The sequence below is a fragment of the Homo sapiens genome, chromosome 2, assembly GCF_000001405.40.
Source record: "Homo sapiens chromosome 2, GRCh38.p14 Primary Assembly".
Lineage (NCBI taxonomy): Eukaryota > Metazoa > Chordata > Mammalia > Primates > Hominidae > Homo > Homo sapiens.
Window position 1 is genome coordinate 55574076 of NC_000002.12, and position 25118 is coordinate 55599193.

Consider the following 25118-nt stretch of genomic DNA (forward strand, 5'->3'; position numbering starts at 1 on the left):
AGAGATGGGGCCTCACTATGTTGTCTGGACTGGTCTCAAACTCCTGGACTCAAGCGATGCTCTCACCTGAGCCTCCCAAAGTGCTGGGATTACAAGTGTAAGCCCCTGCACCTGGCCTATTTCCTCCATTTTCATATCCATTTAAAAGGCTGTAGATTTTTACTTTTTCATTAGGCAGACTCTCCAGAAGCATATTATCAGTTTTACCTACTAGATAACTAAGACTTATATTTGCATAAAATATGAAATACAGAAAGAAAGGCAATAAAAATATATGAACATGATAATAATACCTTGATGGCACTGAGGAGTTCTTGGTAATGTTTCTGTAATAAATGCTATATTATTAATATTAATAAATCTATAAAAGGGCCCATTGTTAAAAAATACTTAAAACTTTTTGCCTAAAGTGGCTCAGTGCAAATTTCTCAAGAAAAATTATACGCTTTTAGAAAAGACATTTTAAGAAAAGGATATTTTTGGCTGTTTGAATATCAAGTAAAAAATATTACATCAAGATTCTTTTTTTTTTTTTTGATACAGAGTCTTGCTCTGTCGCCCAGGCTGGAGTGCAGTGGCGCGATCTTGGCTCACAGTAAGCTCCATCTCCTGGGTTCACGACATTCTCCTGCCTTAGCCTCCCGAGTAGATGGGACTACAGGCACCCGCCACCATGCCCAGCTAATTTTTTTGTATTTTTAGTAGAGATGAGGTTTCACCGTGTTAGCCAGGATGGTCTCGATCTCCTGACCTCGTGATCCACCCGCTTCAGCCACCCAAAGTGCTGGCATTACAGGCGTAAGCCACTGCGCCCAGCCTGATTCTTAAACATGATTTAATATAATTTCATATACAACTTCTTTTTTTTTTTTTTTTTTTTGAGACGGAGTCTCACTCTGTAGCCCAGACTGGAGTGCAGTGGTGCGATCTCGGCTCACTGCAAGCTCCGCCTCCCGGGTTCACGCCATTCTCCTGCCTCAGCCTCCCAAGTAGCTGGGACTACAGGCGCCCGCCACAACGCCCGGCTAATTTTTTTTTGTGTTTTCAGTAGAGATGGGGTTTCACCGTGTTAGCCAGGATGGTCTCGATCTCCTGACCTCATGATCCGCCCACCTCGGCCTCCCAAAGTGCTGGGATTACAGGCGTGAGCCACCACGCCCGGCCTATTTACAACTTTTAAAATATCAACTCACGATGTCCATAGAGAGGGACCTACTGAATAAACTTGCATTTTTTCTTTCCCTGAGGCTTTGGTTGATACATTCATGAAATGATTTTGAACTGCATCCTGAACATCAAATTTTAATTTATGTCAAGGGCTCACATGGACAATCATGCACCACCCATATTATAAGTGCTTTAGACAAAGAAATATTTTCTTGTTGTTTGAGACAGGGTATCACTATGTCACCCAGGCTGGAGGGCACTGGTGCAATTTCGGCTCAATGCAGCCTCAACCTCCCAGACTCAAGTGATCCTGCCACCTCAGCCTCCCTAGTAGCTGGGACCACAGGGATATACCACCATGCCCAGTATATTTTTTGTAGAGACGAGGTCTCACTATGTTGCCCAGGCTGGTCTCTAACTCCTGGGCTCAACCAATCCTCCTGCCTCGGCCTCCCAAAGTGCTGAGATTACAGGTGTGAGCCACCACGCTTGGCTAGACAAGGAAATATTAAGCTGTAAGGAAATTATAAAATCACAGGCTTACGGAATTTTTAAAAAAATGACATCATCTAGTACAACTATTTTATTTGAGATTATATACATAAATATTTTGGGGAACTACAATGCTATTGGAAATAAATTAGCATTGTAATAACAGAATGACCATCACATATAAATACACAAAATAAAATTCTGATATTTCAAGGACTGTTTCTACTTTAAATGCAAGTAAAGAGTTTCACTTGCTCCAGACCAATTGCTCTAACAGCCAGTACCACAGCCAAAATTTGAACTAGTCCCTCATCATTAAAACCAATTCCTGGCCAGGTGCAGTGGCTCATGCCTGTAATCCCAGCACTTTGGGAGGCCAAGGTGGGTGGATCGCCTGAGGTCAGGAGTTTGAGACCATTCTGGCCAACATGGTGAAACCCCATCTCTAATAAAAATACAAAAAAATTAGTTGGGCGTGGTGGTGCACACCTGTGATCCCAGCTACTTGGGAGGCTGAGGCGGGAGATGGTTTGAACCCAGAAGGTGGAGGTTGCAGTGAGCCGAAATTGTGCCACTGCACTCTAGCCTGGGTGACAGAGTGAGACTCTGTCTCAAACAAACGAAAGCAATTCTTTATTTCTCAATTCCCAAATTTTATTACAAAATATTTTTTAACCTTGACCCTCAATGCTGTATGTGGAAATTAAGTTTAAAAAAACAAAAACAGGCCGGGCGCGGTGGCTCACGCCTGTAATCCCAGCACTTTGGGAGGCCGAGGCGGGTGGATCACGAGGTCAGGAGATCGAGACCACCCTGGCTAACACGGTGAAACTCCGCCTCTACTAAAAATACAAAAAATCGGGAGGCTGAGGCAGAAGAATCGCTTGAACTCAGGAGGCGGAGCTTGCAGTGAGCCGAGATTGTGCCACTGCACTCCAGCCTGGGCGACAGAGTGAGACTCCATCTCAAAAAAAATAAAAAAGAAAAACAATGAACTACAGTGTTAAACAAATGTCTTGTCTTCATCTTTATAACGGGGACAAGAAATTACTTGTATCTCTAAATAGTCCAATCTCTAAACAGCCTCCTTATTTGAAACTGGCTCCCCTTTGAGATTTGATGAGGCTGGCAGAAAAGGTATGGGACGGTAGGTGCACACAGCACATGTCTTTATTAGTATCAAGCCCATACCTACTATGCCTATTCTAAGTAGAAACAACTGCTTTTAGACTCAGATTCATGAACAATAACCATAAAGTGGTCATGAAAATTAGTTGCAAAGTAATTGGTTTTAGTTTACTACATTTCAAAAATAAGAACTAAATCCTCAAATTTCAGACAATGCCTTCTCATAACAACATCAGAAAACAAGCTATAAATTTTCAGGGAAAAACAACAGAATTCCAACTCGTTTTCTATTTTTAATATTGGAGATAGTGGAATTACAAAAGTAAATTTCTTCTTGGATTTTGTTTTTATGCCAAAATATGCTTTTCTTAGCCTTATATAAGTGCATTACACTTAGAGTAGAAAAAAGTTTATAATTTGCATGTATTCATAAAGTATGAATTCATACTTACCGGGACAAATTGTGTTGTTTTTGTTTGATCCAACTATATTATCTAATAAAAAAATTAAAAATTAAAATAAAATACTTCAGTAATAATATCCCAGATTTCCCTAGTACTTTATAATATACAATGCATGTCTTCAATCATAATCTCCTTTTACCCTCAAAATAACCATAAAGACTTGGTTGCTTCAGCAAAATTATAACTATATCTGCAATCTTTTACAAAAGTGGATGCAGATGTGGAATTATTAAAAGACAACATAGCATAAATATTCTGATAAAAAGTAAGATTACAACCAGAGATAAAACTGACATATCTTCTTTTACCTTCTCCTATTCATCATTCAACAATTAGGGTATTTCTCTTCATCTCATTTTTGTTTTACTATTTTTAATTTTTTAAAATAACATTTGCATTTGATTATCCATTATACATCTAATTTTTAAAAACAGAAAATGCAGGAATTTTTAAAACTCCAGAATAATGAATGTGTTTATGCTTTAAATTAAAAAAAAAACTCAATTAAGTAGGCCATTATAAATAAGTTCCAATTTCTAGGAATACATTCTAGAGCACATCAAGGCACATGTGCACAGGGAAACACAAGAATGTAACTGGAGCATTATTTGTAATAGCAAAAAGCTAGAAACAAATGCACATTAGAGGCAGAATGGCTGAATTACAGCATCCTCATAAGAGAGGATTATGTAGGAGTTAAAAATAAATAAGAACTCTATTTCAATATGAATTAGATCAATATGAACAGGTATCAATACGAATAGATCTCAAAAATAACACTGGATAAAAAATATGCAGAATAATATGTATGACAGACATTAAATTTATAGCAACTTTGAAAACAAGAAAAATAATACCGTATATACACATCATAACAACATAAGTAAATATAGGAGTGATACACTCCAAATTCAGCATACCTTGAGAGATGGAGGAAGAGGGGGTAGAATGGGAATGGGAATGTGAAGGGGTACATATGAAACTCCAACTATATCTGTAATGTTTTAAAAAAAAATCTGAAAAAAAATATGGCAAGTTAGTTTTGATAAAGCCAACAGGGAGTATATGAGTGTCTGTTATATTATTATCTATATATTTCTGTAAGCTGGAAGTGTTTTATTAAAATGAACATAAAAAATGCATTATTTTCATTTATATAAATGGAACCATTCTGCAAGAAAACCCTCTGCGATGTGCTTTTGTACCCATTCACCTTGATATTTTGGGGAATTATTCAGTTGATACATCAAAATTCAATTATTTTAACTGCTATATAGTATTCCATTATATGAAAAAAACATATTTTATTCATTTTCCTACCACAAACAATGCAGCAACATTCTTGTACCTGTCATGCATATGCACAAACATTCCCTAGAGTATATACTCAGAAATGGAACTGATAGTATTACATAGGGTGTGCTCATGTTTCAACTTTATTAGTTTCATAAACATTCTCCTAACTTCCTTTTAAGTGACTCTTCAGGTTAACAAGTATTCTCAGATAGTGGCTAATGTTCTATTATGCCCCACATATTTCTGATTTCACTAATTAAGTTGTACGCTTTTCAAAGTCCTTTGCTTATGTTAGTATGTAGTATGGTCATATGGTAACATATGAGACTGATGAAATCTCAGAGAACTGTAATATCTACAGTTAAGTTGAATATAGAAGGACTCAATTTAAAAATTGCCTCCAAATTAGATACATGCAACTATAATTACCTAGAGGGATATACTAAAACCAAAGGATTCTGCACTCAGACTCCTTCAAAAAATTTTTAGATTTTCACTCCATTTTAATAAACTGAAAACAGAAATTGCAGCTGATGAATTACGGGTGCCGATTACATAAGAAAGAGAATATGGAAATGCAATTTTAAAAATACTAAGGAAAAAGCCTTGCCCCTATATATTAGCACATATTGGCATATGAATGTGCATTTGGAGGCTAAGTTAAAATATTTATACTATTTGCTTCTACTCATTCTAGATATCGCACAAATTTGGCGACAATGCTTTCTTTTGATAAGTGTCTACATATCAATTCCTTAGTGTGTAATACTGTTTGCCACATTTTCTTTTTTTTCTGCCAGTGGTCTACACGTTCAGAGAAACTTCCGTAGCAACAAACTATAGAAATGGCCCCCGAAAGAATAGTCTTGCCACATTTTATCATTCACTTCCATAACCTTAAGAAACAAGAAAATCATAATTTTATATTGCAGTTTAAGTTTTTCAGTCGTAATCTCCCTGTCTTATAAAGTCTCAAGTAAATTGCCTGTTAGTTTAATATTTATCTCATCCTTCTTTAAAAACAGAAATCACAGCAGATAAATAAAGAGACCCTACCCTTTTCACATTTGTCTTCTGAAGTATTGGTCAAAAGTGGTGCTGTGAGAACATGCATACAATGGTTGTAGAAAAAATTTAGAAATTCACTTTTTTCGGTTTTCTGAAACATAGAATTTTTTAAACAATACTGTTACTTATGTAAATAAAAACATCTTCAAGATTAGCAGTACATACCTTTTCCAGAACCAAACCAAAACAAAAAGAATTAGCAGTACAGATCATATATAAGCAGATACTTTAAAATACTGTGAAAAAAATCAAACACTTGGTTATACGTTGTCAAAGAACCAAAAACTAACTATATTCACTTTAATCTTATTTCTGTGGAACTGAAAATTAAGTCTACTTCATATTATGTACTAAGTAAAAATGAAGGCAAGATAAAGATCAGAGAGCATCACAAAATGTTTTTCTGAGGAAAATTATTCAAAATAATTTTTTAAAAAGATGCCTGTGATACGAATATGAAACGCAGTGAAGAACCAATCTATTGTACAACATATATAATAACAACATATTACTAACAATGTATTACACTTGCAAACTGCTAAGACAGTAGATTTTAAGTGTTCTCAACACAAATAAATACTTGAGGTAAAACAGACACAAAATAAACAACATGTAAGTCAGAACAGCAAGCACCATAATCACTATTGATCCCATTTGTCTCTCTCTCTCTGCAGTGTATTGAGTTTTTCCCAAGAAAGTAACAAAGAAAGAAAATTCTCTCAACTTTAAAAATAACATTCAAATGGGGGTAAAAGGCACATTTGAATCTGTTTTGGAAGAATAAAAATGTTTAGAAAGAAAAAGAACCAATTAAGCCCATGTGATAGCAACTTAACTACCTAAAATTTGGAACCCCAGATTTCACCAATTCTATCTAAATTTTAAAAACCACTGAATCACTTTATCAAGCCACTGGATGAAAAGACAAAATTTAAATCAACTTTTAACATTTTAATATTTTATACTTTGAAAATTTGGAAAATAATGTCTATGGCTTTTGCCACTATTTTTTACACAATTGGGTATACAAACTTGTAATGATTTAAAAACGATGTATATATTCTCTAAATATGAAGGAAATTTTATAAAGAAAAATATCCCTCCATATTGAGAGAATGACTATTAATATTCTGGAGTATCTAATCCTTAAGTATTAAGGACTTAATCCTTAAATCTTTTAAAATGTCTTAGGTAATTAAGATCATTCAGTATATTTAAATTTTTCCTTTTTTATGGTGATAAAATCACGCAACATAAAACTTGCTATTTAAAAATGTATTGGCCGGGCATGGTGACTCACACCTGTAATCCCAGCACTTTGGGAGGCTGAGGCGGGTGGATCACCTGAGGTCAGGGGTTCAAGACCAGCCTGACCAACATGATGAAACCCCATCTCTACTAAAAATACAAAAATTAGCCAGGTGTGGTGGTGTGCGTCTGTAGTCCCAGCTACTTGGGAGGCTGAGGCAGGAGAATCGCTTGAACCCGAGAGGCGGAGGTTGCAGTGAGCTGAGATCACGCCACTGCACTCCAGCCTGGTGACAGAGCAAGACTCTGTCTCAAAAAAATAATAATAATTTTATCATTTTTAAGTGTACAGTTTAGTAGTGTTAAGTATAATCACATTGCTGTGTATTAAATTTTAAGAAATTAACACATAGAGGCCAAGGGCCATAAATGGAATTCCTAACATTTTACTAAGATTTTGACGGATTACAATTTTGTATTTTACCACAAATGAATTGCTATAAGAATACCACTGCTACTTAAATACCAACTGGACAAATACTTAAAATACTTGTTTCTCAAAATCTTATTACAAAGCCACCTAAAACTGACTAGGCCAAAACATTTTTATCTCAGAGTAATTTCTTACATTAGTTGTAGCCAGCATGTTCTCTGGATCAATTAGAGTACGAAGAAGTCCCATTAACTGAACAGCGCCTCCTAGCTCAGGATCAGTATCACAGATCATTTGTTCAATTACCACATTAATAAGAAGAATATCCTGGTGGCAAAACAAAACAAAACAAAACATGTTTCCATTAGACCTGGTTTAGATCTAAGACAAAAACACCAACTGAAAGAGCAAAGTGAGAATTATATAGAGAAAAAACGAAGAATGGAATAGCTTATTTAAACCTCTATTCCTAATGCTTTTGAAAGTTCTATAAAATACTACACACTAGAGTGAAAAAAAATCCCACTCCGAGAAAAAAAAAAGAAGAAGGAGGAAAAAAAACCCACAAAAGCAGAGCATGCTTCAACTTATAGGAAGTGGAAAACAAAATTCTTTAGCAGTAGTTCTTGTTCAGTAGAGGTTCTAACAGAATCTCATTTTGGGTTTCAGACTCAGGCGTAAATTTAGAGGTTGACTAAACAAGCAAGATCACATGACCCTAAGACATAAATTATCTCAGCCTCTAACTAGTAAATCCTTCCTAACAAAAAGAAAAAAAAGAAAAAATGACCAAAAATAACCCAGTACACAACTCTTCATGCAAGTGAACACTGTGTTATATAACAATCTAATATTAAATAGATTTGTTACATTAGTAACATGCTCTTGGATTTTATTTATTTATTTATTGAAACGGAGTCTCGTTCTCTTGCCCAGGCTGGAGTGCAGTGGGGCAATCTGGGCTCACTGCCACCTCATTACAAACCAGTCTCCTGCCTCAGCCTCTTTAGTAGCTGGGATTAAAGGCATGAGCCACCATGCCTGACTAATTTTTGTATTTTTAGTAGAGACTGTCCTGATTCTAAGCTGGCATCTCTATTTTCTGATTGGGAAATATAAAGAAAATCAGATGTTCAAATTTGTTTCATTGATTCTAAAACAGATTTCTTAAAAATTTTCACCTCTTAAAATTAAGATACATTTTGTAACTGATGGCATTTGACAGCCACTATCAGCCAAGTGGTAATCGTGACAAAATTACATAAAAATCTTCTACTGACACTGTCTGGTAAGATCAAGAAAACATTAGCATCTGCATATCTTAGGTTTGATGGATTCAGTAAACGAGAGGAGAGCATAAATCTTTAAAATATAAGGATTCTTTTAAAATAACACAAATGTTACCATATCTAAAAAATTAACCTAAGATTTTATTATTAAATGAGAAAACACCTAACAAAATAAGTAATTCAGTAATAACTATATTACTCATCCAGTCAGGTTCTGCAAGTTTTACTGAATGTTTCAAAGGCCATTAATATAAAAATATGTGCAATCTGTGGCATAAAAAGATGACATTATTGCTAAATTTACCCTTTCTGCTTGGATAGAAACAATGACTACAGTAAAAAATGTTAATATTTCCTTTCATCTTAATACATATTTAAATATTGTAATCCATGTTGCCATAACCAAATCTGCTCCATAATACTTTACCAAAAGGAAATGTTTGAATGCTGAGCATTTATTTTAAAAGGGCACTAAAATATCAACTGCCACTGAATATAAAAATAAGTTACTTTCTGTTTCCTTCCTAAAGGTCACCACCAGCCCAGTATGGAATTCAGCATGTAGAAGACTTAATTTGGATTTTTTTTGGTAATTAATTTATCTTCTCTTGTGGACTAAATTATTTTGAGGCAACACAGTTTTAAAAATGTAAAATTGTTAGCTCTCAGAAAATTCAGGAAAATGAAACCCCTAGAAGGTTGTTATAAGAAAAAAAAACACTGAGAAAGGATCTTTTCACAGTGAAAAAATCAATCACTGCTTTTCTAAGTCTTAGGTATCAATTAAACAAGAAATATTTTTAATTAAAACAGGAATCAAAGCTTGAAGAGTTAAGAATTCTGAAAGTTAACAGTTTACTAAGATCATGGTCTGAGATTGATTCATGGTCATTTTATGATAAATGCCTTTAATCACACACATCACTGAAGATGGAGCAATGGGAGTGTTAATTTCAAAGTTATCTTTTGTAAAGGGTGGCATTAAGATAAACCAATGAGATTATAAAATGATTAATAAAGTAGGCATTTCTCTTTAAAGTCAGAATTAGCATCATTTGACATTGCAGCATTAGCCCAAGTTGATTCTAAAATAAAATCACTTTAAAAAACATTGAAAATAACTAACAAACATAGAAAGTATAAATCTAAGGACACATTAAAAGATTAAATGCAAAACACATAAAACAACTATAATTTCATTCAGTGGTAACTGATGCAAGCATCAAATTAAAATTGAGAATCAAAAACTTTCCTTAACAAGTGGATCGCACATGGTGGCTCATGCCTTTAATCCCAGCACTTTAGGAGGCCGAGATGGGTGGATCACCTGAGGTCAGGAGTTTGAGACCACCCTGAACAACATGGTGAAACCTCTTCTCTACCAAAAATACACAGTTAGCCAGGCGTGGTGGCGCACAGAGGTTACAGTGAGCCGAGAATGCGCCATTGCACTCCAGCCTGGGCAACAAGAGTGAACCTCTGTCTCAAAAAAAACAAAAAACAAAAAGGAAGACAATTATAATTATCTCCTACTTAAAACTGAGGCATTTTTAATAATAAAAAAAGAGTACTTTTAATTATAGCTCTCTGTTCATTTTGTCCTTAAAATAGCTTAAGGGGAAAATTTAAATATATCAGTAGTGGGAAAACACAATATTGGTCTCATTATTAAACTGTCTTTTTTTTAATGTTTTTTATTTCCATAGGTGGTTGGGGAACAGGTGGTGTTTGGTTACATGAGTAAGTTCTTTGCTGGTGATTTGTGAGATTTTGGGGCACCCATCACCCAAGCAGTATACACTGCACCCTATTTGTAGTTTTTTTATCCTTCACCCCCTTCCCACCCTTTCCCCAAGTCCCCAAAGTCCATTGTGTCATTCTTATGCCTTTGCATCCTCATAGCTTAGCTCTCACTTATGAGTTGAGAACATACGATGTTTGGTTTTCTATTCCTGAGTTACTGCACTTAGAAAAATAGTCTCCAATCTCACCCAGTCATTATTAAACTTTCATTCCTACTTAAAACATATTTTTTGAACAAATAAAAGCAACTTTTTAGTTATCCTAGGTAAGTACCTGACCTGTAGATCTCCTAAGGCTTGAAATTACATTTCATTAACACTTGAAATTTAAGACCAATATTTACAAATCTGATTCTATTATAATCTATTTATCTCAATATTGGTTTGAATATCTGGGTTTCTTTTTTTCTAACAATAAACAAAATCAGTCGCCACATATTCTAATTTGGCCAAAGTCACAACAAGTCAGAAATCTATTATTTTGCTCCCAAGAAAGATTAAGATTATGTTATGTTTTTTCTCTCAATAGTTTGCAAACACTACTCACTCTACAGGTAATTCACATAGAACCACAGCATTATTACTTACGTCATCACTCTGCTGAGCTTCTTGCATTACAAACTCTCGGACCATAGATGGACTAAATTCTACTAGATAAGAAAATATATCTGTAGCAGCTGATCTGACTTGCAAATCATCCATGCCCTGATAAAAGGAAAATTAGGTTACTTAGAGACTGTTAACAAAAGTTATTCTCACATTTCTTTTTTCTTTTCCAAATCCATACACTAGCTCTCAACTTTTTGGATTAAGATGTTTTACTGCAATCAATGTGTATAACCTTGCCAGTATGTTCTTCCTTTCTTTTTACAAATATTAAAACTTTCAGGCAATTCAATGATTAGTTTCTGCTGATTTTTACCACTGCAAATAAATATACAGAGAATTTAAATATAAGAATTGGCACAGGATTATAAGGCAATACCTTACAAATGCTGTAAAAAATATGGGAAGGGGATTTATTTAAATATATGTAAAAATTTGAATAACGTCTCCTAGCTAAGACTTCAAAGTCTTCCAGAATCTGCCTTTTGTCCTGATTTTGCAAGAGTTACTCCTTAGTAACTGTTTCTATTTCCTGTGACTCACCTAATAGAGCATGCTTTTGAAAACTCTTTTTGGGCATTTCTACCCTTTTCTGCAACTTAGTTTTCTAAGATGGTAATCCTAGATACTTTTCCCCTCCAACACATGAAGAGTACATGACTTATAAGTTACAAAACCTTGAGGTGATTCTGAAAACACTCCCCAACCCAGCAGTTCTCAAAGTGTGGTCCAGGTAATCCTGGTGAGAGGGGTCTAACATCCTTTTCAGGAAGTATACAAGATTAAGACTATTTCATAATAATAAATAACACTGAGCCTTTGTCATTTTCACTCTCATTCAATCACAAGTACAGTGGGGTTTTCCAGAGGCTGTGTGACATGATATCACCACAAATTAAATGTAGAAGCTGCTTTGTGAATCTAAACACCTTCTATAAAGCAAGGTACTAAAGGGATTAGCAGGAAAAAAAAAGTAAAAAACGGTACTCTTTTCACTAAATTTTTTGTTTTGAAAAAATTATTTTTCATAAAAGTTATATTGATTTCAATCTCAAGAAAATGTGGTGAAAAAAGTTCTATTATTTATGTTAACATATAATGGGTTATCATTTTTAAATGAATGCTTTAAAAATTTGTTTTAATTTTCCATAAAGTAAATACCAATAGATAAAACTCATATAAACAAAACTCTAAGAACCATGCCCTAACCCTGTGTTGCAGCATGAATCCCCTTGTTCCACTCACTGATCTAAAAACAAAAGATATTTTACTGGCTTCTATGAAACACACTTAATATTGTTACAGAAAATATAACAGTCTTGCAAAAACGTGGGGTTTTTTTATTCACTTGAAAGCACACTATATGCAAGTGATTACATACTGATATTAAAAATTAAATAAAAATCTGAAACTGAAGATATTCTTGTAATTCAATTAAGATAGCTAAACTATAGAATTGAATATACATTATTATATATTTTCCCATCCATAACATAAGTGTATTACAAATTTACAATTTCAAAAACATGAAAAGAAACGGCATAATTACCATTACAATTTCAAGAGCAGGAAGAATTCCCAATTTTGCCAATGTTTTGAAAAATGCATCCCTGTTTTGAGGTTGTAATGTCTGAGAAAATGCACAAAACTCCTTGAAAAAATTAACCTGTAATGTCAGAAATTTTAGTGAGACATTGATAAACATAAACTTGGGGCACACTATAGTAATCATCTACCATGGTGTGGTATTCACCCTTCTGAAGGATCTCATCTTTTTGGAGTATGCTGGCTCCTCAAAACTACATTAAAAACAAATTAAAAACTAGCACCCCATTAAAAGTAAACCTTGCATTACTGGGTGCTATTAAGCAAAAAGAGAAATCCACCAATACAAGGTAAATGTAAGCTGGCTTTCTGAAAGACACATCATAAGCTGCTTTTTTCCTTTTTTTTCCAGTGAATGGAGGTGTTTGACAACACATCTTTCTAAGTGAACCTTTGAAATATGTTATTAGAACATTTTCCTTACTCCAATGGGACCTTATAGGTCAACAGAGATATTTGGCTATAAAAGGCAAATGAAAGCATGCATGCTTTGTTTACAATGCTGGATTTGCCTATTGGTCTATTAGTATGCAAAAATGCAAGATATACTTTTAATGGGGTGCCAGTTTTTAAAATGTTTTTAAATGTAGGTTTTGAGGTGCCAGGATACTCTGAAATGATGACATCTGGCGGGGCACAGTGGCTCACGCCTGTAATCCCAACATTTTGGGAGGCTGAGGCAGGCGGATCACTTGAGTCCAGGAATTTGAGACCAGCCTGCCCAACAGGGTGAAACCCTGTCTCTACTAAAAATACAAAAATTAGCTGGGCATGGTGGCACACGCCTGTAATCACAGCTACTCAGGAGGCTGAGGCACGAGAAGCGCTTGAACCCAGGAGGCGGAGGTTGCAGTGAGTTGAAATCATGCCACTGCACTCCAGTCTGGGCAACAGAGCAAGACTCTTTTTCGAAAAGAAAAAATAAAAAACGATGACATCTTTCAGAAGGCTAACACTGATCAATTAACTCTTTAAACACATTCAGTGCAAAAATGCCAGGTAATAAATTTGTTTTGAATTATGAACACATAGTTTCACAGAAACCATCCTACAACTCAACTCTAGCTGGGTCCCCAGTAATATCTCAAAAACATAATACTGGTTTAAGGACTGAAATGTACATCAAAACTTCTCTAGTCTAAAACACCAATATTATAATTGAGAAAACGAAGTAGGCTACTAATAAGTAACTACACCAAAGATGACTTAGAGGTTTTAAATTAGCCATCTTTCATTATTTTGTGAAATCCAAAATAAATAAATAAAAATCTGAAACCGAAGATATTCCTGTAGCAATTCAATATCAGATAGCTAAATTATAGAATTGAATATGCATTACTATAACATATACTTTCCCTTCTCATCTCATTATGTTTGAAAAAAATGTCAAACATCTGGCAAACGGCAATCACAATCACTATTCTCTTCCTCAAAATGGTTTATATCTCAAAGAAAATGCTTACAATAAAAAATAAAAAATTTCCAAAGAACCAAATTATTTATATCATTTATTCAGGAAGCATTTTCCTTATCTCTTGTTTAAAAAGAAAAGCATTGCGGCTAGGCGCAGTGGCTCACACCTGTAATCCCAGCACTTTAGGAGGCCAAGGCGGGGGGATCACCTCAGGTTGGGAGTTCGAGACCAGCCTGACCAACATGGAGAAATCCTGTCTCTACTAAAAATACAAAATTAGCCGGGTGTGGCAGCGCATGCCTGTAATCCCAGCTACTTGGGAGGCTGAGGCGGGAGAATCCCTTGAACCTGGGAGGCAGAGGTTGTGGTGAGCCGAGATCGCACCACTGCACTCCAGCCTGGGCAACAAGAGCGAAACTCCATCTCAGAAAAAAAAAAAAAAAAGAAAAAGAAAAGCATGGCTATAATGCGAATGTCTGCAACCATAAAAATGTATGAATTTTGTAGTTCTGTTCTAACATAAGGCACTTATCTGATTTGGGGATTTATAAGGCATACAATGGTGGGGGGTGATACATCAGAACATCCTAAGAAGTTTCTAAAATACACAAATTCTAGAAACAAATTTTAGAAACTCTGAATAATCATTTCATAGTTCAATTTAAATACATACTTTTCATCTCTTACTAATCTAATTACAAAAAATTGTCTCAAGTTAGCAAATTCAAGATTAAAAGCTGTGCATGCCAAAAGAATAAGTGCTCTTTAAGAGTTTGAATTTCATAACTTACCAATTCACGCCGTTTATCATCATCTGTAGCCTCATCTGTTAATTGTGCAAAAACTTCAGACAAAAACTTCTCATCTTCCTGCATGAGAAAAATAATTACTATGAAATATTAACAAAAGAATAAAGTTATACTCATTTATATGACTTACACAAATTATAAAAAATAGTTGACAAGTAGTATTTTCATCATGAAACCTAATATTCTGGGGTGTATTTCTGTGTTACAATTTTCTAAAATTTGACTACACCATTCAATTCTTGTTATAAATACATCAATATCTAGTTTAACTAAAAACCTCAACTACAAATAACTCTCTGGAAAACAAAAATATTTGTTCTAGAGGTGTTACGTGAAAACTCACTTAACTTAGATTCTCTAGCCCCCTTTCAGGGTCTACTTACTCTTAATTTAAACATAATTCAAACAAGCCTAAGGATCTTATTGTCAGTTTATAACAGATTAGAAAAACAAGAATTGTAAGACAAGGAACAAGGAAAACAGTAAAGGAGGCTGAATTCCGACAGTAGATAAAGTTACAAAGCTATTTAAAATACAATAACTCATAAAATACAACAACCTACAACCAACTGGTGCACAGTTTTACACGTTCTTGCGGTCCCCAAGGATATAACTAAATGACAAAGCACTACAATAACTGCTTTTCATACTAATGACTCTGGGGTATTAAAAAGAAAGACAAGTGCTAATTTCTACAGGCGTTGTCTAAAAGGACAAACAGAAAAATATAGTCAAGTGGCCAGGCGCGGTGGCTCACGCCCGTAATCCCAGCACTTTGGAAGGCCGAGGCGGGCGGATCACGAGGTCATGAGATCGAGACCACCCTGGCTAACATGGTAAAACCCTGTCTCTACTAAAAATACAAAAAAATTAGCCAGGCATGGTGGTGGGCGCCTGTAGTGGCAGCTACCTGGGAGGCTGAGGCAGGAGAATGGCGTGAACCCGGGAGGGGGAGCTTGCAGTGAGCCGAGATTGTGCCACTGTATTCCAGCCTGGACAAAAGAGCGAGACTCCATCTCAAAAAAAAAAAAAATTATATATATATAAAAAATATATATAATTATATATATATTTATATATATATTTAATATATTATATATATATAATATATATATAGTCAAGCACGCATTTTTAAAAAATAAATTTGTGGGCCAGGTGTGGTGGCTCATGCGTGTAATCCCAGCACTTTGGGAGGCTGAGGCGGGGGGATCACCTGAGGTCGGAAGTTCCAGACCAGCTTGACCAACATGGAGAAACCCCGTCTCCACTAAAAATACAAAACTAGCCAGGCATGGTGGCACATGCCTGTAATCCTAGCTACTAGGGAGGCTGAGGCAGGAGAATCGCTTGAACCTGGGAGGCGGAGGTTGCAGTGAGCCGAGATTGCGCCATTGCAGTCCAGCCTGGGCAACAAGAGTGAAACTCCGTCTCAACAACAACAAAATAATAATAATAAATAAATTTGTTTGTCTAAAGTCTAGGAGTACCGGTTAGACTGTTAACTGTGGTTACTGCTTGCTGATAGGTTATGAGTGATTTTCTTTTTTGGTTATCTATATTTTCTAATTGGTGATAGGTTATGAGTGATTTTCTTTTTGGTTATCTATATTTTCTAATTTTCTACAATAAGCACAGACTAAATTACAAAGGAAAAAATGGGCAAAAATATTAAAATTCACCTTAGAGATTTCATCAAAATCTGCTAAAAAAACTGATGGAAATTGTTGGTGGTTTTAAGCTTCAGTTATCTTCAAAATTCATTTTTATGAAATGTAATTTCCATTAATTTAAAGTAACATGTTCTAAAAAAGTTTGTAACAATAGTATCTGTAGAGTTGATAGTAAAATAAAACCCTAACATTTAAAGGATACACCCCAACTACCTGTCCTTTTTCTTACTGAGGATCATCCATTAAATGGTATCAATCCCTTAAATCCTTTTTGAAATAACGTGGAACATGTATTTTTAAAAAATGAATAGAAACCACTAGGTACAATCAGAGAGTATAACATGCTCTTCTACTAAAAATCAATTGGTGCTACTCAAAGACAAGACACTGGGAGATGAATCACTTAATTAGTCTGACTCAGAATGTGTCTGAGTCATTTAATTAGTCTGACTCAGGTGTTTCTTTTCGTATTTCATTGACTCCTTTTGGACCTTATGCACTGCAGCCTGAACATCCATCTTTTGAGGGAGTTTATATGCATATGTAATCTTTTATTTAGCCCTCAAGTTAGTTTTTCCTTTTTTTTTTTTTCTAGAGTCTCACTCTGTTGCCCAGGCTGGAGTGCAGTGGTACAAACGTGGCTCAGTGTAGCCTCGACCTCCTGGACTCAAGCAATCTTCCTCCCTCAGACTCCCATGTAACAGAGACTGCGGGCACGTGCCACCATACCTGGCTATTTTTTTTTTAATTTTTTGTACAGATGGGGGGGTTTCACTTTGTTGCCCAGGCTGGTATCGAACTCCTGGCCTCAAGCAATCCTCCCACCTCAGCCTCCCAAAGTGCTAGGACTACAGGCATGAGCCACCATGCCCAGCCTACTTTTTCCAAATACTTTTAGTCTTAATATTTTAGGTTAGGGTGAGTAAGTACATATTTACCTCCATTCACACCTTTTATAAATTTCTATTTTCCTGCATCTGTTGTAGATTACATCTTCATCCTTTACTACCTGAAAATTTAATTTTTTCAAAATATTTTCATAAGAAAAAAGTTCCAACTCCTTGATAAATGCAATTTCCCACTTGAATTCTTCTTATATGATTCGGTACTTGTGAGCTGATAAGTAGAACTGCATAAAATATTACAGATAGAGGCAATCTCAATTATTACAGTCCATTAAGAGAATATGTATTCCTAGTATTTTTTCCCTGATTTCCAGCATTACTCTGGCTATTATTCATTAAGCTATAAAAGCACTCTGTTCCAATATATTTATGAAGGAAGCAAATAATCAATAACTTAAAGCCTATCATATAGTTGAAATACTTACTCCAAAATCTCTGGTTCTCCAAGTAATCAAACTAATCTCTTTTAGTTTTTCTTTTCTATTTGGTTTTAACAGCTTTTGTTTTAATAAAACCTATATATTTAAGTCAAAACTTGTGTGGCTGCTTTTCTGGACAACATAAAAAAACACTGTGGGGAAAAAAAGAGGTTGCTTCTAAACAGTCTAAATCAAACTCTTCTCTTTGCAGTAATATAAATACAGGCCAAACAAAAGAAAAAACAGAACCCATTCATTTTTAGAAACATATAAACACAGAAATTTAGAATTAAATCAGATTTTGCAACATTACAGAGACTGTCAAGTCCAATTTTAAATTTCAAGAGACTGAGGTTCAAAAAGTGAACCTTTCTGAGGGTAGCTAGTGACAGATGGATTTAGAATCCAGGCCTCCCAAATAATTAATGAGGTTTTTGTCACTCCTACTAAGTAAACCACAAGACAGGTTTCCAAGTATTTCAAACTTCAAACGTATGAATCAAACCAAAGCAAAAGATACACAAAGCTGGAATGGGCCAAATCTAGTAAGATAAAATTTAATATATTAAATCCTGTACTTGAATCCAAAGAAAAATCCTAAAAACAAAATGAAAAGCCCTATTACTCTAAACAGTTTTTTAAAGAGTATCTGAAGATTTTACATACTTAATCTGTAACTGGGATGGGAAGTTAGAAATTTTTCTCTTTCCGTGCCAAAACCTTAGCATCTGCAAAATATGTTAAAAAGAGAACTAAACCGCTAATCCTGCTGGGCTAATTTTAAGCTTAACTCTTACCTATGGAATAGCAGAAATATGTATATAATATAATATATGTAAATGTGTTAAAATGTCAACATTTGAGATTCCTATCCTCCATCATTTCTAGTAAGGAGAGAAATTAAAACTTTGTTCTGAAAAGGATCTTATTCTATAACTGTTTGTGCAGAAATAATCTCATTTTACTTGCTTTCAAAAATTTAATTTCTGGCTGGGGGCAGTGGCTCATGCCTGTAATCCCAGCACTTTGGTAGGCTGAGGCGGGTGGATCACCTGAGGTTGGGAGTTCAAGACCAGCCTGGCCAACATGGTGAAACTGTCTATACTAAAAATACAAAAATTAGCCAGGCATGGTGGCTGCTGCCTGTAATCCCAGCTCCCAGGAGGCTGAGGCTTGAGAATCACTTTAACCTGGGAGGCAGAGGCTGCAGTGAGCCAAGATGGCGCCACTGCACTCCAGCCTGGGTGACAGAGCGAGACTCTGTCTCAAAATAAATAAATAAATAATTTCTAAAATATTTTAAAAGAATGTTGCTCAATTCTGGGCACAGGGGATTTTGATCTGCAATTAGCTAGAACATTTGGAGTCACTAAAGTCTTATGTCCCTATCATGCTTAAGATATTGTCAACATGTATTAGCACACATACTAGGAGCCACTGACTATGCTAAGTACTCTCATATAATTTCTCAGTTAATTAACCTAATTTAAGCTAGGATTTATGATAAGGACCTTCGTACTACCTCACTTCGGCCCAGTTACATAAAATTCTTACATATTCACTTGCCTTCTACAACTCACACAGCAGCAAGTTAATGCGCATTTAAGAAACCACAGGTAAGTGTACTAGATACCCAGATAGGTATCTAGAAACACCTACTACCTAACCAAAAATTTCTACATGGAAATCTCAGAGTGAGACTTTAGGAAATAAGTGCTTAGAGGCCACTGTAGGGCCAGGTGTGGTGGTTCACATCTGTAATCCCAACACTTTGGAAGGCTGGGCACTAGGATTGCTTGAGGCCAGGTAAGAACAGTTTAGGCAACATAGCAAAACCCCACCTCTACAAAAAATAAAATAAAATAGAGACCACTGGCCACAATCTTATTTCTTTCCTTTTCACACATAGTTGAAAACACAATTCATACCCAAAGGAAAAAAAAGCATTATATTAAAAAGACACCTGCACTTGTATATTGATCGCAGCACTATTCATGATAGCAAAGTCATGGAACCCACCTAAGTGTCTACCAACAGATGATCAGACAAAGAAAATGGGGTGTATATATACACTGTGGAATACAAATGAAATGTTAAAAAATAATGAAATCATGTCTTTTGTAGCAACATGAATGGAGCTGGAGGCCATTATCCTAAGTGAACTCAGAGGCAGAAAATCATATATCGCATGTTCTCACTTACAAGTGGGTACACAAGGACATTAAGATGGAAATAACAGACACTGGGAACTCCAAAAAGGGGTAGGATGGGAGAGGACTGAAGGTTTAAAAATTATCTACTGGGCACTGTGTTCAATATCACGGTGATGGGTACACTAGAAGCCCAATCTCCACCATTACTCATGCAATACCCATGTAACAAATAAGCCTATGTGCCCTCTGAATCTAAAATAAAAAAAAAAAAAAAAAAATTCAACATCATTGCTGGCACATAAGAGATAATTAAGTAGTAAATGTTATGTAAATAACAGACAGTTCACAGAATCTGGCTATTTCATGAAATGCATCTCATGAAGCAGAAATGAGTAAATCTTTTAGAAAAATAAAAAGCTGCACTTGATTTACGTAATTATAGCCTTCACAAATAAACCTATTATAAAATACATAAAATGACAAAGTTTTACAAATATTTATAGTTCATATAATTTATTTTCTGAATATAAAAAAGTATTTACGATTTACTAGTATGAATTTGGAAACCCTTCTGAAGACAAAAACAGTCATTTGAAAGCTACATATGAGCTTCTGTTCCTGGTCCTCTTTTTATCAACTACAGACTGTGACTCTGTCCAATCTCCTAAGATTATTAAATGTTTTTCTGTCAACAAGTGAAATAGCACCCTGAATTGTATACTACAGTTTAAAAATACACAGGTCCTATATATTATAAAAAGAACCTGATATGTACATCTAACCTCCCCCACACTCATTATTGGTGAATAACAAAAAATTGGTAGGTGAATAAATGACCTGAAAGAAAAGTAAATCCTATGCAAAAAATTAAAGTAAACAATAATAGGTGACTACTGGTGGGAAACGTCGCAAAATGAAGTCGATTAGCTAGGCACTAAGTCAGAGATAGAATCTCAATTATTTGTATCAGGACCCTTTTAAACTTTTTTTTTTTTTTTTTTCAGACAGTCTCGCTCTGTCACCCTGGCTGGAGTACAGTGGCACAATCTCAGCTCACTGCAACCTCCGCCTCTCGGTTCAAGCAATTCTCCCACTTCAGCTTCCTGAGTAGCTGGGATTACAGGCACGTGCCACTGTGCCTGGCTAATTTTTGTATTTTTAGTAGAGATGGAGTTTCGCCATGTTGGTCAGGCTGGTCTCAAACTCCTGACCACAAGTGATCCTCCTGGCCTTGGCCTCCCAAAGTGCTGGGATTACAGGCATGAGCCACCACACCCAGCCTAAACTCTTAAGAATTATGCAGAGGCTGGGTACAGTGGCTCATATCTATAATCTCAGCACTTTGGGAGGGTGAGGAGCATCACTTGAGGCCAGGAGTTTGAGACCAGCCTGGGCAACACAGTGAGATCCTGTCTCTATATAAAAAATAAAATAAATTTTTAAAAATTACAATTAAAACCAAGACTCGTGAAAATATTTATGAATTCATTTTAAAATAAGTCATTTTATGTTTATGTAAATATTTTTTAAGAGAAACAGCTATATGATCCAAAATTTAAACTTTTATAAAAAAGAGTAGCCCCTTTTACATTTTTGCAAATCTCAATACCTGGCTTAACAAATGACAACCAGATACTCATTTATCTTTTCTGGCATTCAGTGTGTTGCAATATGTTCTTTAAGCAAAAGTACATGAAAAAAAAAAAAAAAACACAGCCTCACACTGACATCAAACTAGAAAAAGGAAAACCTCATAAATGCCTGTAAGAGGGGCTCAGGGACTTCCAGAGGTCCACAAACCACACTCTGAGATCCACAATACTAAGTATATAGTAGCTGCTCAATAAACTTAGTGAATGATATGGAAATAACAAAAGCAGTTATGCAGAAAGCTGAGTATAGGCTACTGTTACAAGTAAGACAAGTACTTAAAAAGCATGCTTACTATACTGTTAGGGTGTAAAGGATTAACATGATAAATATAGTATAAAACTCCTATTTCACAACTCAAGGAGACAGAATAAAATCACCTTCATATAGCAAATAGCCACATACTCGTATACACCCCAATAATAACAGTATCTCTCAAAATGGAAGAAAACATACTTTTAACCCTTTACCCATTGAGAAAAAAAAAGTACAGCTTGCTGCAAGGACTCATTTAATTTTACATAAACACGCTCTTTGAGGCCGAAGCAAATCTGACTTTCAAGGTGAAAATAAAATATAAAAACTGTTCTTGGAGTTATTTCTAAATAGAACTAACATCAGAATTGTTTGAATCATCAGATTCGTCTATTTCGAAAAAAAAAATCAGATTCAACAAACGAATCCTCGGGCAACAACTGTTCGAGAATGACAATACCATGTGCAGGACTGCTATGTTTTCTACGATTTGACATTTTCAGTGATTAACAATTACTATAGTTTGTAAATGAAAATATCACTATTAAAACCAGAATGCTATAAATAGAATGATGTCTTCTGTTTCCAAAGTCAATATGCCACAGCAATGCAAAAATAATAATAAAAGCTAGGTATTTTGTGGCAAAGTTATCTCAAGGTAAACACTGCAGCCAAGCACTACTGGCGAGTATTCACAGGACAGACAGGAAAAGGGTTAAATATAGCTGCATTGGCCAGGTGCAGTGGCTCACGCCTGTAATCCCAGCACTTTGGGAGGCCAAGGCGGGCGGATCACCTGAGGTCAGGAGTTTGAGACCAGCCTGGCCAACATGGTGAAACCCTGTTTCTACTAAAAATACAAAAAATTAGTCGAGTGTGGTGGCGTGTGCCTGTAATCCCAGCTACTGGGGAGGCTGAGGCAGGAGAATCGCTTGAACCCAGAAGGTGGAGGTTGCAATGAGCCGAAATCACACCATTGCACTCCAGCTTGGGCAACAAGAGTGAAACTCCGTCTCAAAATAATAATAATAAAAAATAGCTGCATCATCGATATATATAATAGGCAAATTCATAAAGAGTAGAATAGTGGTTACTAAGAGCTGGAAGGAGGGAATATGGGGAGTTACTGTTCAATGGGTTCAGAGTTTCTGTTTGGGATGATGAAAAAGTTCTGGAAATGGATAGTGGTAACTGCTGCATAACACTGCAAATATACTTAATGCCAATGAATTGTACACTTAAAAATTGTTGAAACTGGCCGGGCACAGTGACTCATGCCTGTAATCCAAGCACTTTGGGAGGCCGGGGCAGGTGGATCACCTCAGGTTGGGAGTTCGAGACCAGCCTGACCAACATGGAGAAACCCCCCTCTACTAAAAATACAAAAAATTGGGCTGGGCGGGGTGGCTCACGCCTGTAATCCCAGCACTTTGGGAGGCTGAGGTGGGTGGATCACAAGGTCAGGAGATCGAGACCATCCTGGCTAAAATGGTGAAACCTTGTCTCTACTAAAAACACAAAAAATTAGCTGGGCGTGATGGCGGGCGCCTGTAGTCCCAGCTACCCGGGAGGCTGAGGCAGGAGAATGGCGTGAACCCGGGAGGCGGAGCTTGCAGTGAGCCAAGATTGCGCCACTGCACTTCAGCCTGGGCGACCGAGCAAGACTCCGTCTCAAAAACAAACAAACAAACAAACAAACAAAACTAGCTCGGCGTGGAGGCACATGCCTGTAATCCCAGCTACTCAGGAGGCTGAGACAGGAGAATCACTTGAACCCAGGAGGCAGAGGTTGCGGCGAGCTGAGATCATGCCATTGCACTCCAGCTTGGGCAACAAGAGCAAAACTCCATCTCAAAAAATAAATAAATAAATAAATAGTCAAAACGGTGAATTTTATGTTATGTATATTCTACCTCAATTTTAGAAACACAAATACTAAATTGTATAAAAAGCTAAAACACAGGCTACTTAAAAATATAAAAGGCTGGGCTGGGCGCGGTGGCTCACGCCTATAATCCCAGCACTTTGGGAGGCTGAGGCGGGCGGACTGCCTGAGCTCAGGAGTTCAACACCAGTCTGGGCAACACAGTGAAACCCCTTCCCTACTAAAAATACAAAAAAATCAGCTGGGCATGGCAGTGCACACCTGTAGTCTCAGCTAATCGGGAGGCTGAGGAAGAAGAATTGCTTGAACCCGGGAAGCGTAGGTTGCAGTGAGCTGAGATTGCGCCACTGCATTCCAGCCTGGGCGACAGAACGAGACTCCGACTCAAAAAAATAAATAAAAGGTTGCACTAAAACCACAAGACATAAAGTCCCAATTTCTTTTGTTTACTTTAAATGTACTTAATAGTACATTTAAACAAAATAAATCTTTCAAAAAATAGAGGGTATAAACACCTGCTTGAACTATTAAGGGAACTAAATATCTGAAAAATGGAATCGTGAAGAGTATCTTTTTACTTACCTGCAACATGCTGACTATCTCAACTTTGTTGAAGAAAATAAAAGACGTAAGAGTAGAAAGAAAATTCTCTTCAAAAACAGATGGTGTGGGCAAAATGATGTCCTGAATGTACTGTACCCTGTAAGTCTGATGTATTTTTTGCCTTAGTTCAGAGTCTGTTATTGGTATAACTTCCTTGAACTTTGCAGTTTTGGTCAAGAATTCTCTATGTCTTTTTGGCTGAGCCAAAGCAGGGTCATATTCAAGGCATCCCACGACATCCATGATACACTCATCAGAAAACATTACCTCAAAAAGAGTTGCCTTATTTAGGAATAAGATTCCTCTAATAATTTCATACAAATGGTGTAAGCCTTCAGTGTTTTCTAGGTTCTCGCAAGCTTGGAACAGCTGCAATAGTTTTTTAATATAGCCTTCATTTTCCAAGGCGAGAGCCAGCTTTTCCCTACGGATAGGTGAGGAGAGCACTGAGGTAACTAAGTCAGCAATCTCTTCAAGTTTATTGAGTTCACATGTGGGCAGGTCAATCAGATGACTAGTTTCAGGCATTTCTTCAAATCGTTCTTCTTCAGATTCATCAATGAGGTCCTGTGTGACTTCCACTGATGGGTCTTTACCTTGAACCTAAAAATATCCAAGTATACAGCTAATTACCTTAAAATACAAAATAATTCAAAATTTTGGAAATCAAATCATTTGGAAATGCCTGGCTAGTCACTACTAATTAAAAGTGAAGTCTAGGCCAGGCACGGTGGCTCACGCCTGTAATCCCAGCACT

At 36.1% G+C, this 25118-nt stretch overlaps 1 protein-coding gene across 19 annotated transcripts in view; it reads right to left on the minus strand.

The window, feature by feature from the left end:
• Window positions 1-25118, minus strand: part of PPP4R3B (protein phosphatase 4 regulatory subunit 3B) — a 70331-nt gene that overhangs the window by 26784 nt on the left and 18429 nt on the right. For 5 of the 19 annotated variants that reach the window (XM_005264445.4, XM_005264444.4, XM_005264442.4 and 2 more), the window contains exons 4-11: window positions 24341-24964; window positions 14804-14881; window positions 12543-12659; window positions 10976-11092; window positions 7492-7623; window positions 5604-5706; window positions 4172-4267; window positions 3240-3281 (exon numbers count right to left, since the gene is read on the minus strand). In XM_005264445.4, the coding sequence (XP_005264502.1) occupies window positions 3240-3281; window positions 4172-4267; window positions 5604-5706; window positions 7492-7623; window positions 10976-11092; window positions 12543-12659; window positions 14804-14881; window positions 24341-24964 (1309 nt within the window). Of the gene's footprint in view, window positions 1-3239; window positions 3282-4171; window positions 4268-5603; window positions 5707-7491; window positions 7624-10975; window positions 11093-12542; window positions 12660-14803; window positions 14882-17429; window positions 17500-24340; window positions 24965-25118 lie in introns of those variants that run through there. The other 14 variants (XM_047445153.1, XM_047445152.1, XM_017004532.3 and 11 more) reach the window with 5 other exon arrangements.